Genomic DNA, 18,210 nt, shown 5'->3' with positions numbered 1-18,210 from the left:
CCTGCTACAAAGAGAGTCTCAGTCCTCATCCCGGACTTCCAGATGTGGGCAAGACAGGCCCATCCCTTGGGCCCTCATGGCCCCCCAGCCCTCCTTCATCCACACACTCCTCATGAGGTGAGTAGCTTAGTACACAAGACTATGACTCCTGCACATGGAGACATGGCCTCCCTAATGCTGGGGTACCCAGATGTGATATAAGAAATATATTTAGTCTTTGTCCCAGGTTTCTGGCATAGACCTCCTAAGACGCTTGGGTTTTTCACAGTGATAAGGAGGCCTTGTGTAAACCCCTTTCAATCATATCTGAATTTATGTTAATAAGTAGATTTAGAATAGGGCCCCTGGAGAGCCTCAGGATAGGGGTGATCACCAGACAGATCAACTGACTGGAGGGTTGGAACTTTCAGCCTCCCTCACTAACCTGGTGGGAGAGCTAAAGATTGAGTTATAAAAACTCTTAAATAATGATGTAAAGCTTCCAGGTTGGTGAATACATCCATGAACTAGGAGGGCAGCACACCCTAACTCCGTAGGATCATAAGCTCATGTTCTTGGGACTCTTCCAGACCTTGTCCTGTGCTATGATTTGAATGTGTTCCCTCTAGAGTTAAAGTGTTGAAACTTAATGGCCAATGTGATGGTATTAACAGGTGGGGCAAACAAGAGGTGATTAAGTCAAGAGGGCCCTTTTTCATGAGTGTGATTAAGGTCCTTAGAAAGGCTTTTGATAGCATTGGTCTCTCTTGCTCTTCTGTCTTCCATCATGTGAGGACATGGCGTTCCTCCCCTCTGGAAGATGCAGCCCTTACCAGACAACCGAACCTGCTGGCGCCTTGATTTTGGACTTTCAAACCTCCAGAACTGTGAGAAAATAGATTTCTGTTCGTATAAATTGCCAGTCTCAGGCATTTTGTTATAGCAGCACAAAGCAGACTACGATACCCTATATACCTCTTCATCTGGCTGTTGATCTGTATCCTTCTTGATAAACTGTAAATCTAAATGTAAGTAAAGTGGATTTTCTGAGTTCTGTGAGCTGTTCTAGTAAATTATTGAAGCTGAGGACAGTGTTGTGGGAACCTCTGACTTACAGCTGGTTGGTCAGAAGTATGGGTGGTCCAAGTCTTGCAACTGGCACCTGAAGTGGGGGCAGTCTTGTGGGACTTAAGCTGTGGGGTCTGCCCTAAATCCAGGTGCATCAAAATTGAATTGAATGGTTCGACATTCAGCCGATGTTGGAGAAGAGATTGGTGTCAGAAAACACTTCAACAAGATACCAAAATTCCCTTCCCAACTGGCCCCAAGACCCCTTTTTAGGCCCTCTTCCTCTTCCTCTAATGGCAGACCTTGCAGTCATTTTGCAAAGGTCTAAGTTCAAGAGTGACCAAGGGCTGGGTGTTTGAAAGGGAGTAAGGACAGATCTTGGATGTGTGTCTAATTCTATATACAGAAGATTCTTCATGGTGCAAGAAAGTATAGGAGTGGGTGGGAAGTAGAAAGACAAGGTGAAAGGCTATAGATTGAGAGCTTTCTTTTGTCTCAGATCCTGCAAATATTAGGAAGTGGTGATCCTGAGCTTCAGAATCAGAATGTCTGAGGATGGTGTGTGAGAATCTTGCTAGTGTCACTAAATTGATTTAAACAGAAGTCTTCAACCTTGGCTTCATATTAGAATCACTTGGGTAGCTTTTAAAATGCCCAGGCTTTTCCCACCCCTTGAAATGACCATATCAAGATCTTTGGGGCTGAGACCAAAACATCAGTATTTCTCAAAGCTCCTCTGATTCCAATATTTAGCTTAGGTTGAGAGTCCTTGTCTCAGAAGGTTAGAAAGGCAAATAAAGAAGTGAGATGGATGGTTGGCAAGGTGTCAGTGTAGTGGAGGTGGGACTTATGGTGAAGGATAAATCATGGGCTCTCGAAAGCTAGTGGCCTCTACTCTGCTCCAGTGGACTTTTGTATGGACCATGTATGGAAGCAGACTTGCCCTGGCCGGATCTTCCCAGACTTCAAGAGACGCTTCAGGTGCTTATGCTTATGTGAAACTTCACACTTTGTACATGTCAGCAGCTAATTCTTTACTGTGTTAATCAATATGATACAAGCCAGGGGAAACAGCTTCTGTCATGATTTGGTGTTTAAGCTACTAGTTTGGGCTTTTGAGTTAGAATCTTCCTACTCAAAGTGTGGTCCACGGACCAGTAACATTAGCATGACCTGGGAGCTCGTTTTAAAGTCAGTAACAAAGTGTACTTGTTACAAAGTGCACCTAGACCTACTCTATTAAAATCTGCATTTTAATAGAACCTCAAGTTGATTAGCATGCATATTAAAGTTTGAGGATCCCTGAGTAGTAGGTTGTACCAGTGTTGTGCTACCAAAACCCAAACCATAGGTGATATGGTTTGGATTTGTGTCCTCCCTCAAATCTCATGTTGAATTGTAATCCCCAGTGTTGGAGGAGGGGCCTGCTGGGAGGTGATTTTATCATGCGGGCAGATTTCTCCCTTGCTGTTCTCATAATAGTGAGTGACTTCTCATGAGATCTGGTTGTTTAAAAGTATGTGGCACCTCCCCCTTTATTCTCTTCTTCCTGCTCCAGCCATGTAAGAAGTGCCTGCTTCCCCTTCACCTTCTGCCATGATTGTAGGCTTCCCCAGCCATGCTACTTGTACAGGCTGCAGAGCCAATTAAACCTCTTTTCTTTATTAATTACGCACTCTCAGGTAGTTCTTTATAGATGTGTGAGAATGGACTAATACAATAGTTGCAATTCCTTCGTGTGATACCAGTTTTGCTGGGTTTCCTGATTATGGAATTATATAGCCCCTGCTGTGTGTCTCTACAATCAACACCTCCCTACAGGACACTTGGCAGCCAGGTGTATCTTCCAATGTGTCCGCATTGCGTACTTAATGCGTATTGTATTATATAACTGTTGAATGTAATGCATTAAATATGTGAATTATATTATGTTGGTTAATTGTGTTAAACAAATCCTCTGTGTGCTTAGTGATTTTCTTTTTTTTTCCTTCCTGCTTATTTTGTTAGTAACAGAGAGGGATATGCTAAAATCTTCATCTGTGATTCAGGATTTATTTAATTCTCCATATAATTGTCAACCAAAAAAACCCTTGATATAGTTGTTTTAATATTAGATGAAGTAGCCTTAAGGCAGCCCGACCCAATAGAACTTTCTGTAATGATGGAAATGTTCTCTGTGCTATCCCATAGGGTAACCAATAGCCCTATTGAGCATCTGAAATGTGACTAGCACAAAGGCGGGGCTGAATTTTTATATTTTTCTTTAATTAATTTAAATTTAAATAAGCACATGGCTAATGGCTACTGTATCGAACAGCATTACTTTAAGGCAAGAAAATACAGAAAGAACATTTCATAATAAAGAGATCAATGTATTTGAGAAACAATACTAAAAATGTATACACCCAATAATTATACCTTCAAACTATATGAAGCAAAAATTAACAGATCTAATATGCTTAGATATGTTCAAAGAGACAAGGCTTATAGCATGGGAACTTCCTGTATCTTTCCTGCCTCCAAAATGCCACAACACCCTAGTCACCAAAAGAACTCATGATCTGTTTAATTGGGAAGAAAAACATAATCTAGTACTTTATTTTATTTTATTTATTTATTTTTTTGAGACAGAGTCTTGCTCTATTGCCCAGGTTGGAGTGCAGTGGCGTGATCTCGGCTCACTGCAAGCTCCCCATCCCGGGTTCACACCATTCTCCTGCCTCAGCCTCCCGAGTAGCTGGGACTACAGGCGCCCACCACCTCACCCGGCTAATTTTTTGTATTTTTTTTCAGTAGAGATGGGGTTTCACCATGTTAGCCAGGATGGTCTCAATCTCCTGATCTCGTGATCCGCCCGCCTCGGCCTCCCAAAGTGTTGGGATTACAGGTGTGTGCCACCGTGCCTGGCCTAATCTAGTACTTTAAATCCGTAGTCTTTTAAGATGCATGCATATGTTCAGAGGATAAAAGGAAAGATGATCTATTGGATTATGGGAAAAGTGTACTAGAATTTCACTTGTAAGGGAAATTAGCTTTACTCATACCTATTGACACTGGCACCACATTAGTTTGTTAAAAGGTTGTTAGTGACTTACAGGGCTTGAGACCTGAGGAAAGAAGAGGGCACCACACCTTTCCCCTCCCCCGTCCTTTTTTTTGATACCAGGTCTCACTTTGTTACCCAGGCAGGAGTGCAGTGGCCTAATCATAGCTCAATGCCTTGAACTCCTGGACTAAAGTGATCCTCCTGGCTCAGCCTCCCAAAGCATTAGGATTACAGGCATTAGCCATGGAACCTGGCCTGTCCCACACGTTCAAGGGCTTGGACAGTGGTGCCCTTGCTTATACGATGACTTTTCAGCTTGTTTCAACACATTCAGTGTACACATGCTCAGATTCAATGGATTTACAGGCTACCTTATCTATTTTAACCAAACAAACCCTCACCAAATGGACTAAACCCTGCAAAGACATTGAGATGAACCACATTAGCAATTGTGCCAACGGCAAACAAAAGGACAACGGCAGAGTTGAGAGCTGACGTTTTCTCCTTTCCTACATTCTGAGGTGAAAACAATCAGATATTGCAGGAGAATCCATTTAAAAAGTAATTTTATGAAGAAGACTGTTTGAAATATGTATTTACTTTCTCACAGCTAACAGTGAGTTTTGCCTTAAGTGTATGGCATGTTAATGAAAGTGGCAAGCCATTGTAATTAGCAGGCACTTAAAAATTAAGCATCCATCAGAAAGTCAAACCTTTACAACTGGTAGATGGGAATGAATAAAAGGAGTGTAATGAAGCAGTAGCCTCGGCAAAGGATGCACACCTTCCATTTTAATCTTCAAATCTGTGTGAGGAATCTTTTTTTTCCCCAGCAGTGACAGCCATTAAAACCAAATATGGAAAAGAAAATCCAAACTTAAGATCAGAGTTTTGGATTCCTGTATCAAAGTGTTAAGTGAGGAGTTTTGAAAATAATAAAGTCTATTCAAACACATGGACTCTCTATATGGAGGGCAAAGATTTGTTTTGAATCATTAACAAACAAAATAAAACATTATTTTCATCTTTATTCTTTCTCATTATTTATATTTTATCATTTAAAATATATATATTATACATTCATTTATGATGAACACATGTGTTAGTCTAGTAATACCTACAACGTAAAAATGAACACACAAATAAGTGAATATGCCTATGATGGGGGTTGTGAGTGTCTAATTTTTAGGGCATGAAATGGAAAAGTTTGGATACCACTGCATCAAATTACTGGCCTAATATTTAATTTTGTTCTAGTGGAACACTAAAAGGTATTGGGTTGCCAATGCCCAACTTTAATTTTCACAAAAATAAAATTTGCCAAAGCCAGGAGATCCTAACTTTGAAATAGTTACTACTTTACAGGGGTTCCATTATTTATAGTGTAGATATTCCACAAAATTTCTGTCTAGGTGATGGTACCAGGTTATGATTTATTTACAATTTGGTAAAACAAAATGGGTGAAAGGTTGCCATGCTTCAAGTTCAAATACTCATTTTCAACCCAGATTTTGTAGGTTTTCTAATATTTTAAAAACTTAATGTGTAAGTTAACATCAATTAAAGAATATATATCCAAATACATATTTTGGTACAAAACTAATTGTGGTTTTAGCCATTACTCTCAATTGCAAAGACTGCAATTACTTTTGCACCAACCTAAATTTTTCTCTTTTATATTTCGGCCTGTTGTTATTGCCAAATCATTTAACTATTAAGGGAGGCAACCACCCATCATATTGTCTTATACCCAATTTCTGCCTCCAAAGAAAGAAGAAGTAAAAACTAAAAGGCAGAAACGGAATCCACAGGCAGATAGCCCAGCACCGCGCCCTGGGCCTGGTAGTTAAAAATCAACCCCTGAGCTAACTGCTTGTGTTATCTATAGATTTCAGACATTGTATGGAAAAGTATCGTGAAAATCCCGTCCTGTTCTGTTCTGATTACCGGTGCATGCAGCCCCCAGTCACGCACCGCCTGCTTGCTCAATCAATCATGACCCTTTCACTCATACCCCCTTAGAGCTGTAGGCCCTTAAAAGGGACAGGAATTGCTCACTCCGGGAGCTCAGTTTTTGGAGACATAAGTCTGCCGATGCTCCCAGCTGAATAAAGCCCTTTCCTTCTACAACTCGGTGTCTGAGGGGTTCTTGTCTGCGGCTCGTCCTGCTACACTATCAAGTCTATGAATAAAACCTATTACGTACAGAATCCACATAATCTCTTAAGTTCAAATCGAAATAATACAAAACACTTCAGTAGAAGATTTTGCATTGCCATGAAGCACTTTATGTGTTTAAAACCACACTTCTGAATAAATTGTAAGGCTAGACTTACAAACAGTCAAAATCAGTAATCATTAGCAAGAAGTTCTAATAATAAATAGCTGTTTATTTGATAAAAGGTAGACAATAGCCACTAAAATTAATTAAATATTAAAAATTCATATTAAAATATCATGCGCTTTCTATGTAAGCATTTTTTACTGATTGTTTGCTTATCCCTGGGCTTGAGTTAGATGGTTCTGATCATTCTGTCCAGGTTTTTAGACTATTGCAAAGCATGGCATGTGCAGTGGTCAAATCTCATTCAATCTTACACTGATGTCATCATTTCCTTGTTTTATCTGAATAGTGGTTATATAAGCCAAGGTACTTCCAAACCTATAGGCAAAGATTATTAACACCAACTATAATAGGGGTTGGGCAATGTTAATGTCTTATTTCCATTTACTCTCTATTATCCCCAAACAGAGAACACATCACATAACTAGGTTTTGCAGAAAGCTAAAGAATTAAGGCCCCTGCAAACAAGTTCAACATTTCAATAAAATGACCCCATGATGATACCACAGGTGTGAATCACACATCAAGGATATGCGCTCAGAGTCCATTGAGAACTTAAATTTCAAACTGCAGAGTCTGACAGCTCCCTGACACAAATACAACCAACAGAAACTGTGACCTGCGTGGTTCAGAGCTTATTTCCTTCATTGGCATCCTGGACTTTAATTTTAAGATCAATTAGCACACGTGTAAGAGTGGAGATATAAGTCAGGAGTTGCATGCACACATATACCCCTTGCCAGCAAAAGGATTTGTCTTACGGAAAGACAGAGGTAGGAAGGCAGAAAAAACTTGATATTCAACAGAACAAAGAATTAAGAGAGCTGTTGATCTTAATCACAATCATTGTACTGATTTCCTTTTAATAATGATCTGTTTTAGAAGGAAAATGGTAAACAAATTAGCCTGATGATTCCCACAAGGGGAAAAATAATTTGTATTTATAACAGTCACGATAAAGCATTCTGTTCTTTAAAATATGGCCACAACTAAAAGTAATTATGGTAACAGTGACAAAGAGTATTATTTTAGAAATGGCTCCATAAAATGATTTAATAGCCATTACTCACACATTTTAAGGAAATTGTCTTGTAGGATAACACCAGGCTATTTCTCTATATAGGTTGCAATCATAGAAAATGGTGATGACTTATTTTTTTTAAAGTTATTGTTGTAGGATGCTATGCATGCATATGAAATAAAAGCTGATGGCTGGGTGCAGTGGCTCACAGCTATAATCCCAGCACTTTGGGAGGCCAAGATGGGCAGATCACCTGAGGTCAGGAGTTCGAGACCAGCTTGGCCAACATGGTAAAACACCATCTCTACTAAAAATACAAAAATTTTTTTTGTATTTTTGTATTTTGGTTGGGTGTGGTGGCAGGCACCTGTAATCCCAGCTACTCCGGAGGCTGAGGCAGGAGAATCACTTGAACCCAGGAGGCAGAGGTTGCAGTGTGCTGAGATCGCACCACTGCACTCCAGCTGGGTGACAAGAGCAAAACTCCATCTCAAAATAAATATATATAAAAGAAAAGCTGATTTCAAATTTAAAAAGGGGGGAAGTGATTTAGTACAATATGTAGCTCAGATTATATTTTTCTTGATGAGATTCGGTCTTAAAGGGGTCTCTGCCAAATTCAAATAGAAAATGAAATCAGTGGAGGGTTCTGTGTTGAATTTCCTCTTATGGCATTTATGAAGATATTGCCTCCAAAAGGAAAGCATGCAGGCCAAAGTGAAGTTATGAAAGTCTGGAACTTTAAAAGAGGGAATCCACAGCTTGTTCTGAGACCATTTGCTCAAGCCAGTCCCTCTACAGACGTCCCACCTTTGCCAGGCATCCTGCAAGACCTAACTCATTGTTTTCCACCCAGCTCACCATGTTCTTGCTACTGTGTAGCTTCCTCAGAGCACTCACTCTATTTTTGGAGCTTCTGTCAACCTATGGCCCATGTCACACAGTCTAGCCCTTGTCTCATCTCTTCATTCCACTTGGCTATATTGCCCTAGTGAGATTACTAAAAGCAGAGACTGTGCCCTTTCATCTTTAGAAGCTTGCCCTATTTCTAGATTGGCTGACTGAGGCGCAGGGCTATGCTTGAGGCTTGGGCTTATCTAGGAAGAGACCCATTAATATTGCTTCAGTTCAGTCTGTGAAGCAGTACTTAGGGGCCCTGTGAATGTCAGAGAAGAATTCTCAGTGATTCTATGTGATATGAACAGAACATTGAGGAAAATATGTGAGAAAAAAACAACATATAAATCAGCCCTGATTAGGTTAGAGTCCACCACACAAGCTTTTTTTTTTTTTTCTGAGACAGAGTTTCTCTCTGTCACCCAGGTTGGAGTGCAGTGGCGCGATCTTGGCTCACTGCAACCTCCATCTCTTGGGTTCAAGCGATTCTCCTGCCTCAGCCTCCCAAATAGCTAGGACTACAGGCATGTGCCACCACGCCCAGATAATTTTTGTATTTTTAGTAGAGACCGGGCTTTGCCATGTTGGCCAGCCTGGTCTCAAACTCCTGACCTGAGGTGATCCACCTGCCTCGGCCTCCCAAAGTGCTGGCGTGAGCCACCGCACCTGGCCAAGGCTTTTTTTTTTTTTTTTTAAGAATTACTAAAAAATAATGTGACTGAGAAATCAAAAGCAGATAGGCTTTCTAGCATGCTGCGATAATGTTTGATTCCTGGCTTTATTACCTGTGATTTTTGTGACCAGTCACTTACCTGCTTTGAGGTTTCCGTTTCTTCACTTGTAGGGATGTGTGTGGGTGGGTGATGGCAATGGTGTTAAGATCTACTTCCAAGCTTTATTGGGACATGACACATAATATTAAATCTAGACACCACTGGATCTGCTGAATCATATGGCCCAAGTGACAGAGCTGCTTGCATAGCAGCCTGGACCTGTTATAAAACCTTCTCTTGTTCTGGGATCCACTCAAAACTAGCAGCTTCTTGGGTCACTAAATAAATGAGTGGGAGTAACACACCCAAATGAGCAATATATTGCCTCCAAAAATTGAAAGAAGCTCACTAGGCATTGTCCGTCTTTTTTGATTTAGGAGGGGCAAGATGCAATATCTTATCCTTCACTTCAGAAGAATATCTCAACATGTCCCACGCCACTGGACTCCTAGGAATTTCACTGAGGTAGAAGGTCCCTAAACTTTGTCAGATATATCTCCTACCCTCTGACATGCAAATGTCTTGCCAATAAAACTAGAGTAGTTGCTACTTCTTGCTCACTAGGTCCAATCAGCATAATGTCATCTATGTAATGGACTAGTGATGAAAGCCAATTAAGATCCCTGTGAACTAAATTATAACATAGGGCTGGAGAGTTGATATGCCCCTTATGTAGGACGGTGTAGGTGTATTGCTGGCCTTGACAGCTGAAAGCAAACTGCTTCTCACGAGCCTTATTGACAAGGATGGAAATAAAGGCATTTGCCAGATCAATAACTGCATACCAAGTACCAGGGAATAGCTCAAGTAATGAAACCACATCTGGTACAACAGCTGCAATTGGAGTCACCACCTGGTTAAACTTTCCATGTTACTCTCCATCATCCAGTTTTCTGCACGTCAAGTAAGTTGAATGGGAGTATAGTGAGACTCACCAGCCCTGCGACTTTGAAATTCTTGATGGTAGCACTAATCTCTGCCATCCTTCAGGAATGTGGTACTGCTTTTCGTTTACGAATTTCCTAGGTTGAAACAGTTCTAGTGGCTCCCACTTGGCCTTTCCCTCTGTAATAGCCCTCACTCCACAGGTCACAAGAACCAATATAGCAGTTCTGTCAGGGAATTTATCTATTCCAAGTATACATTTCAGACTAGGAAAATAACCACGGGATAAGTTTAGAGACTCATGAACTTCACTGTGAGATGGACCTGAATTAAAACTCTGTTGATCACCTGACCTCCATTAGCCCTACTCTGCCTGGTGGACCACAGTGAAATACTGGGCCTTCTGGAATAAGTGTCAGTTCAGAGCCAGTGGTCAGTAGTCTCCAACAGGTCTGATTATTTCCTTTTCTCCAATGCATAGTCACCTGGTAAAACACCATAGGTCCATTTGGAGAAGGATGGGAGAAAGATGAACAGTATAAATTTTCAGTAATATACAGGAGTCTTTCCTCAAAGAGACTCAGCCTCCCCTTCATTGAAAGGGTTTTGGGTCTATAAACTGGCTCAAGTATGGGAATTCCTTGAAGGATAGTGACTCTATGCTTTCATGATTCAGGTAATACTTTTTTTTTTTTTTTTATTTGACATAGAAATTTTCAGCTTACAGAGAGCAAAAAAGAATTTAGTCACCAGCCTATCTCTTTTACTTTCCAGGAACACCATGATCAACTGGCCAGTGCCATGGTTCTCTGTGAGTTAGAGAATTTTGGTTGCTGCCTGACTCCACTGTTCATCATGGTAATCACGGCCACATTGCCTTTGACGGTCGAGTGCTGCCACTTGGCCCCTGCCACCCTGGGATCCAATTATTCCCATTACATTTAGATTTCTCAATTCAGTGACTGCAGTTTCCATTGTAAGTTCTGGCCTACAGAGTAGAGTGTCACAGAGCTCTTCAAGGATGCTGGGACTCCCTCACAAACTTACTTCCCACAGTTATGGTGAAAGGTATGTCTCCAGGACTCTCCCAATGTGAGTGAGTCATTCTTGAATGACAAACCCACTCTAACATCCCAATGTCTCTAAGTCATTTAATCCCTCCCTCTACATTAAACCAAGGGAAGTTCAGCATTTCCAACTTGCTCACTGTGGGTGACCTTCTGGCCCATGTTTCAGCCAACTGACTAAACAAACTATTACAGCACTTTCCAAATGCCTGAGCTGCAAAATTAAATGCATGCTGTCTGCTTCCTTTATCCATATCAATAAATTCATTTTGATCTAATTTGTGTTTCTCCTACCATTATCCTATGTTCTTAATATGCATTCCCTCACAGTTTTCCAAACTTTTCTATTATAAATTAGAAAATTTAAATACTTAATACTTATTTGGAGTATAGCATAAATCCTCATGAGTTGCACTTTGTACGTCACCTTTAGGGGCCTCTTTGGACTTGAATGTAGTTACAGGTCTAGAAACAAAGAGGGGTCCTGAATAGAATCAGCATCATCTTGCATGGCAACTGCCTTGAGGGAGGCCCTTAGAGTTTCCTCTGGTGATGCAGGATTAATCCCCTTAGAAGAGGCTGGAGAGGGCTCTTCTGCTGGCAAAGAACCCTCATCATAATTTAGGGGCTCAATGTCCTCAGCTTCATCGGGGCTGAAGCTGATCTCCATTCCAACTTTGAGCAACGCATTCCTTCCTAGTTAATACACTGACTTTAACAGTAGACACCTTGTGAGGCTGAGGGTTCAAATTGTGTTGGTTCAGCCAGTCACAGGATGAGATCCTGCATTTGATTTTCAGTGATCTTAGTCCTAAGGCTATAGGAGATAAAGGTCTCCTCGAGGGCAGACATAGCAGCTTTGAGATCATGTATGCAGCATTTGACCTGGGAATTCAAACCCTGAGCTCATTCTTTGTTCGATGACAATAGAAGCCAATCTCTTTACATTTGTTACTTTGCCAATCATGTTCAAAAGCATCATATACACAGTCACCAAAATCTTTGCTTCTTATAAGTGGTTGATTAGGAGTATCCAATGGTAATATTTATATATCTCTATTGACAGAGTACACCACGGACTATCTATCAGTGCCCTCTTTATTAATGGAAACAGAGTTATTAGCATCGTTAAACCTAATCAGATGAGAGAACCAATGCCAGAAACCTCAGAACCAATTCAGGAAACTCATCCTAAAAATTCTCTTCCTCTAGAACCACTCTTGGGACAAAAATCTGTATCAGTCTTGGTTCTCCAGAGAGACAGAATCAATAGTGTATGTGTGTGTGTGTAATACCCCATCAGCTCTCCTCATTCTCAGGCCATCAGACTCAGACCAAGTGAATGGGCACCCTGTGGACCAGTCAAGTTAACACATACAATTAATTAGCATATTATGTATAGATTGAAAAAATGGCCACAGTTATTTTTCAGCTCCTCCTATTAACACTTAAAGTCTACTTCTTTCCCACTTGAATCTGGGCAGTTATTGGGGTTTGCTTTGGACAGTAAAATGTGGTCAAAGTGACAATATGCCAGTTTTGGGCCTAGGCCTTAAGAAGTCTATGCTCCTGCTTTTGAGCAAGCTTTGATTAGCCTGCTAGAAGAAGAGAGACACAGGGCCCCGTCACTCCTGCTGTCCCAACTGCCAGCCAGTCAGCTGCCAGCCAGGTAGGTAAGACCATCCTCAACTAGCCAGACTTCAGTTGATCTGCTAGCTGAACACAGATACCTGCCTAAGACCAGCTGGGATCAATGAAGCCCAAGGCAAAGCAGCAGAAAGGTTCAGCTGACCCATAGACTTGTGAGCAGTAACATGGTTATTGTCTCAACAGTGATTTGTTTTCAAGTCACTAAGTTTTGAAGTGGTTTGTTATGCAGCCAAAGCTCACTGACCCAGATGCCTTGTCAGTCATTTTAAGTTAGAGTCGTCTGCTTTGGACCATTTCCTGTGCCCTCTGAGGTGGGAATCATGAAATATGTATGGAGAAACTTTTAAATCTATTATGCAGTTTATAAAACATAAACTCTCATAAGCTGGTTCTACATGTATATGCATTGTCATTATAGACAGACAGCCCTACTCAAGAGTCCACAAATGAATTCGAACCACAATACTCAGGACAGGCTAGTAAAACAAGATATGCCTGGAATTCTTTGTTTCATAAATGAGTAGATTGCTATATATAAGTCATAATAGAATTGGATGAATTACTTTTTATACAGCATAGATCTCTAAAGCCTGTGGTTAGGGACTTAAAATAAGGTTTCATGGGTATAACCAGAAAAAAAAAATACTCTTAAAAAGGAAAGAATGTGACAACGGTGGAGACCCTGAAATAGGTCTAACAAAATAACCAAAAGCAGACAAAAAGCCATGTCCATGGTCTATCAAGCCTGCTACCAGCCTCACCTCAAGGGCACTCCGAATTCATCTGCTACTCATCTCCTGTGGCTCTCAGTCCCTCTTGCACTTGCTGCCTCATTGTTCAACAAGCCAGGCCCTTAGCTTTTGAAATTTACTCTTCCTAGAAATTTTACTCTTCCCACAGATCCCTTATGGCTCACTCAACTCCTCTCCTGTTATGGTTAATTTTATGTGTCAATTTGCTGGGACACAGAGTGCGCAGATATTTGGTCAATCATTATTCTGAATGTTTCTGTGAGGGTGTTTTTGGATGAGATTAGCATTTAAATCAGTAGCCTGAGCAAAGCAGATTACCCTCCCTAATGTGGGAGGGCCTCATCCAACCAGTTGAAGGTCTGAATAGAACAAAGGTTAACATTCCCCTGAGTAAGAAAGAATTCTCCTGCCTGATGGCCTCTGAACTAAGACATTGGTTCTTTTTTATTCTACAGCAGCCTGTGGTTTTTTTTTTTTTTTTTTTTTTTTTTTCTGAGGCAGAGTCTATCGCCCAGGCTGGAGTGCAGTGGCGCGGACTTGGCTCACTGCAACCTCTGCCTCCCAGGTTCAAGCAATTCTCCTGTCTCAGCCTCCCGAGTAGCTGGGATGACAGGCATGCACCACCACACCCAGCTAATTTTTGTATTTTTAATAGAGATGGGGTTTCACCATGTTGGCCAGGCTAGTCTTGAACTCCTGACTTCAAGTGATCTGGCCGCCTTGGCTTCCTGAAGTGCTGGGATTACAGGTGTGAGCCACTGTGCTGACCAGCAGCCTGTGGCTTTTGAACTCAAACTGGGACATCTGCTCTGCAGATTTTGGACTTGCCAGCCTCCATAATCACATGAACCAATTCCCTTGCAATAAATCTCATACACATACACATACATATGTAAGGGTGAATATCTCCTATTGGTTCAATTTCTCGGGGGAACTCTGACTGATATATCTCCTTTCTGGAGGTCACCTTCTCGGTGAAGTCTTCCATAATCATCCTATTAAACCAGAAAACTATTCCCTATCCCTCTTTCTTTCTTAATTCTCTGTAGTTTCTTTTTACTACATCCAACATGCTATAACTTTACCTCTTTATTTTATGTATTGCTTGCCTATGAAAACTTAATGGGAGCAGGGATTTTTGTTCATCTTTCCCCTCACTTCCCCAGGCTTCTCCAGCATGCAGAACAATGCCTGGCACATAGTACATGCTCAATAAATATTTGCTGAATATTTATTCAACAAATAATATTGAATGAATGAACTTGAAAAGAAAGAAATTCAGTAGTTCAAATGTTGCTTTTGATCAGATTTTTTTTTTCTGAGCTCTGAAGATTTCACACATACAACCCACAAGAAATGTGGTTGTAAAGGTCTGCATAACTGCCACAGAGAATATTCCAGAAGGATGGGCAAGAGCATGGAAGGGAAAAAGACCTTTCAGATACTTCACCTGGAAAAGCAGACATTAGGGAAGGTATGAATAAATGGAGGAAACAGAATTCGTTGTTAGCGTATTAGTTTTTTACAGCGGCTATATTGACTTACCAAAAATTGAGTGGCTTAAAACAATAGAAATGTATTCTTTCACAGTTCTGGAGGCCAGAAATCTGAAATCAACATGTCAGCAGGGCCACACTCCTTTGGGGGAATCAGTTCCTTGCTTCATTCACTTCCTAGTAGCTGTCACCATTCCTTGACCTGAGCCTGCACCACTCCAATCTCTGCCTCTGTGGACACATTGCCTCCTCCTCCTCTTCTTTCTGTGTGAAATCTCTCCCTGCCTCACTCTTTTAAGGACATACATCGATATGGTTTGGCTGTGTCTCTACCCAAATCTCATTTTGAATTGTAGATCCCATAATCCCCATGAGTAATGGGAGGGACCCAGTGGGAGGTAACTGAATCATGGAGGTGGGTTTTTCCTGTGCTGTTCTCATGATAGTGAATAAGTCTCATGAGATCTGATGGTTTTATAAAGGACAGTTCCCCTGCACATGCTCTTTTGCCTGTCGTCATGTAAGACATGCCTTTGCTCTTCCTTTGCCTTCCGCCATGATTGTGAGACCTCCCCAGCCATGTGGAACTATGAGTCCATTAAACCTCTTTTTCTTTATAAATTACCCAGTCTCTGGGATGTCTTTATTGGCAGCATGAGAACAGACTAATACACACATCATTGGATTTAGGGCCCACATGGAAGACCCAAGATAATCTCCTCATTGCAAAATCCTTACCTTTATAACATCTTTAAATATCTCTTTTCCAAACAAGGGAACATTCACAGGTTCCAGGAAACAGGATAAGGACATGTCTTTTTGGTGACCACCACTCAACTCATAACAGTGAGATAAGAAATTGGATTGTGCCGTGATTCCACAATGACAATCCTTAAGGTTGTCCAGCTGCCGACATGAGGGTACTTTCTGAGGGATGTGGGCCTTTGTAATCAAGACAACTAAACCCTCGCAGGGTTCCCTAAGGACTCAAACTAATTCAAATTAATAAGTAAAGTTTTAAACAGTTACTTATTAAGGTAAAGTTCGTTTTCAGGAAGCCATGTGCTGAAAGCAAGACCAAGCGTTTTCTTTAGACAAGGGAGTCACCTGTGGGCCAGGCTTTCGATTCTGATTCTTTTCTCTCACTTCTCCTAATCTTATGATAGGGATTCCTATAATCTGGCTCAAGAGTTATCATGTGCTCTAATCCATGGAAAGGCAATACATTGCACTTCGCACTCAAATTTTTAAAATGTTATCAAGGTCATCTCTTAAGCAATTTCTTAAGCAGAACAAGGACATGCGAAGAGATCCAAGTTCAGAATTTCTGGCTGTTTTTCCTGATGCTAGTCTCTATAACCCATGACTGTATTTTCACGTTTCCCTGATGTTCAGGAAGCTTGAAACTTTTAAATGAAATTTAATTAGTTTAAAGTATTATAATGGGCAGTTTTCAGGACCAAGTGTTCCACAATTTATTTAAATATCCCATATAACCCTCCAGTTCCCTGAGTAAGTATAAACAACTATTCTATTTAAATTTTAAGATGCTAAATTTTATTATAGCCAGAAATAGTTTCTTTTTGCTGTTAGAAGTGGAACCACTCAAGTCTCTGACCTTACCATTCCTAGGCCAATAAAATATCTATTAAAAGGTCATATGCCAGTGACATGTAATATCTACTGAGTGAATTCATAAGTCGGATTCTGGCATTAAAAACTCTGAAAATTAAACTTTCACTACCCTGGGCACCCTGCCTATGGGATAGCCCTGCTACACAAGGAGCAATACGAAAGAAAGAAAGAAGCACAGAAAGAAAGAAGGAAAGAAAGAAAGAAAGAAAGAAAGAAAGAAAGAAAGAAAGAAAGAAAGAAAGAAAGAAAGAAAGAAAGAGAAAGAAAGAGAGGGAGAAAGAAAGAGAAAGAAAGAAAGAAAATTAAATTTCAACTGAAAATGGGGAAATATCTGTGAAATTTATTTCAAAAATTCATTTAGCAAAATATAAATAACTAGCTGGGCATGGTGGTATGTGCCTGTAGTCCCAGCTACTTGGGAGGCTGAGGTGGGAGGATCGCTTGAGCCCAGGAGTTTCAGGCTATGGTGAGCTACAACTGTACTACTGCACTCCAGGCTGGGTGACAGAGTGAGAGTTTGTCTCTAAAATAAATAAATAAGTAACAACGAAAACTTTTATATTTTGGGGTTTAGTTTTTAGGAAAAATGAGGCACATTACAATAAAATAAACTGGTGGGATTTATTCAACATCTCAATATCTAAGGTATGGCCTGAGGTCTTAGTGATGGACTCCACTATTTCTTTAAAAATTAATCAATTAATACAGTAAAATAAATTAAAGCAAATTTTTCTTAAACATGTAAGACAAACTTAGATCCAGATTGGGTGCTCTAGGGGGCTGTTTCCTGCATGGTTTCTCTCCTCCGTCATTATCCACAGGACTCTGAGAAGTTGTAGGAATATGCATGTGCAGAGTTGAGGTCCAGCTTCATCTCCAATGTCATGGAAAAGGACAGTACATCATGGGGACAGAGCCCTGTGCTCCCCTATGCTACTTGGACACAGCCTGGGGAGAGAGTGACCTCCTGGGTGTATCCACATTGGAGACTCCACTCTTTTTGCGTGACTTGACCTTCATACTGATGACCCCAAGACACTATACACCAAGGCCAAATAATCTAATTAGTAATAAGAGCAGGGCGTTTAGAGTGATTTTAAAATAAGTATTGAGAGGAAGAAGGATCACCAGTTAACATGCAGTCAACATTCTAATGCAATCTGATATGGCTGTCCATCATGTGGCAGAGAGATGCGGGGGCCAATGAAACAGCTAGGCTACCTTCTCCTCTTGTCCACGGTGCTGTGAATTTAAGCAGCAGTAATAGACTGATGGCAGTGGAGGCCTCCACCTGTGAAGATCAGTGTGCTTCTAATGGCTATGTCTGAAAATCAAGGGATTCTGGACTCCTTGTGACATCTATGCAAAATCTGGGCTAGAATATACATCCTGCCCAGACATACTGATGCCAGCCTTCAGAGAGATTTTACTACAATTAGTACATGGAGACTCATATTCAGTAGGTTCTAATGAGATGCTTAAATTAAAAAAAAAACTGTAAAGTTTACCTTCTTTTAGAAAGGGTACTTGATCGGATACATAAAGGAAAATGAAGTAATGGGTGGGTGGTCCTGATTGTTTTATCTTCCCAATCCTT

At 40.7% G+C, this 18,210-nt stretch overlaps 1 protein-coding gene and 1 non-coding gene across 3 annotated transcripts in view; both read right to left on the bottom strand.

Annotated features, from left to right (window-relative positions):
* PLCB1 (phospholipase C beta 1) overlaps nt 1-18,210 on the bottom strand; it is a 752,635-nt gene that overhangs the window by 36,116 nt on the left and 698,309 nt on the right. The gene's annotated exons all lie outside the window — the stretch shown is intronic.
* RNU105B (RNA, U105B small nucleolar) lies at nt 17,392-17,600 on the bottom strand. Its single transcript, NR_004386.2, has one exon. It is a non-coding gene; the product is annotated as an RNA, U105B small nucleolar (small nucleolar RNA).

The sequence above is a fragment of the Homo sapiens genome, chromosome 20, assembly GCF_000001405.40.
Source record: "Homo sapiens chromosome 20, GRCh38.p14 Primary Assembly".
In the NCBI taxonomy this organism is placed as follows: Eukaryota; Metazoa; Chordata; class Mammalia; order Primates; family Hominidae; genus Homo; species Homo sapiens.
This window is presented reverse-complemented; position numbering and strand designations above follow the sequence as displayed.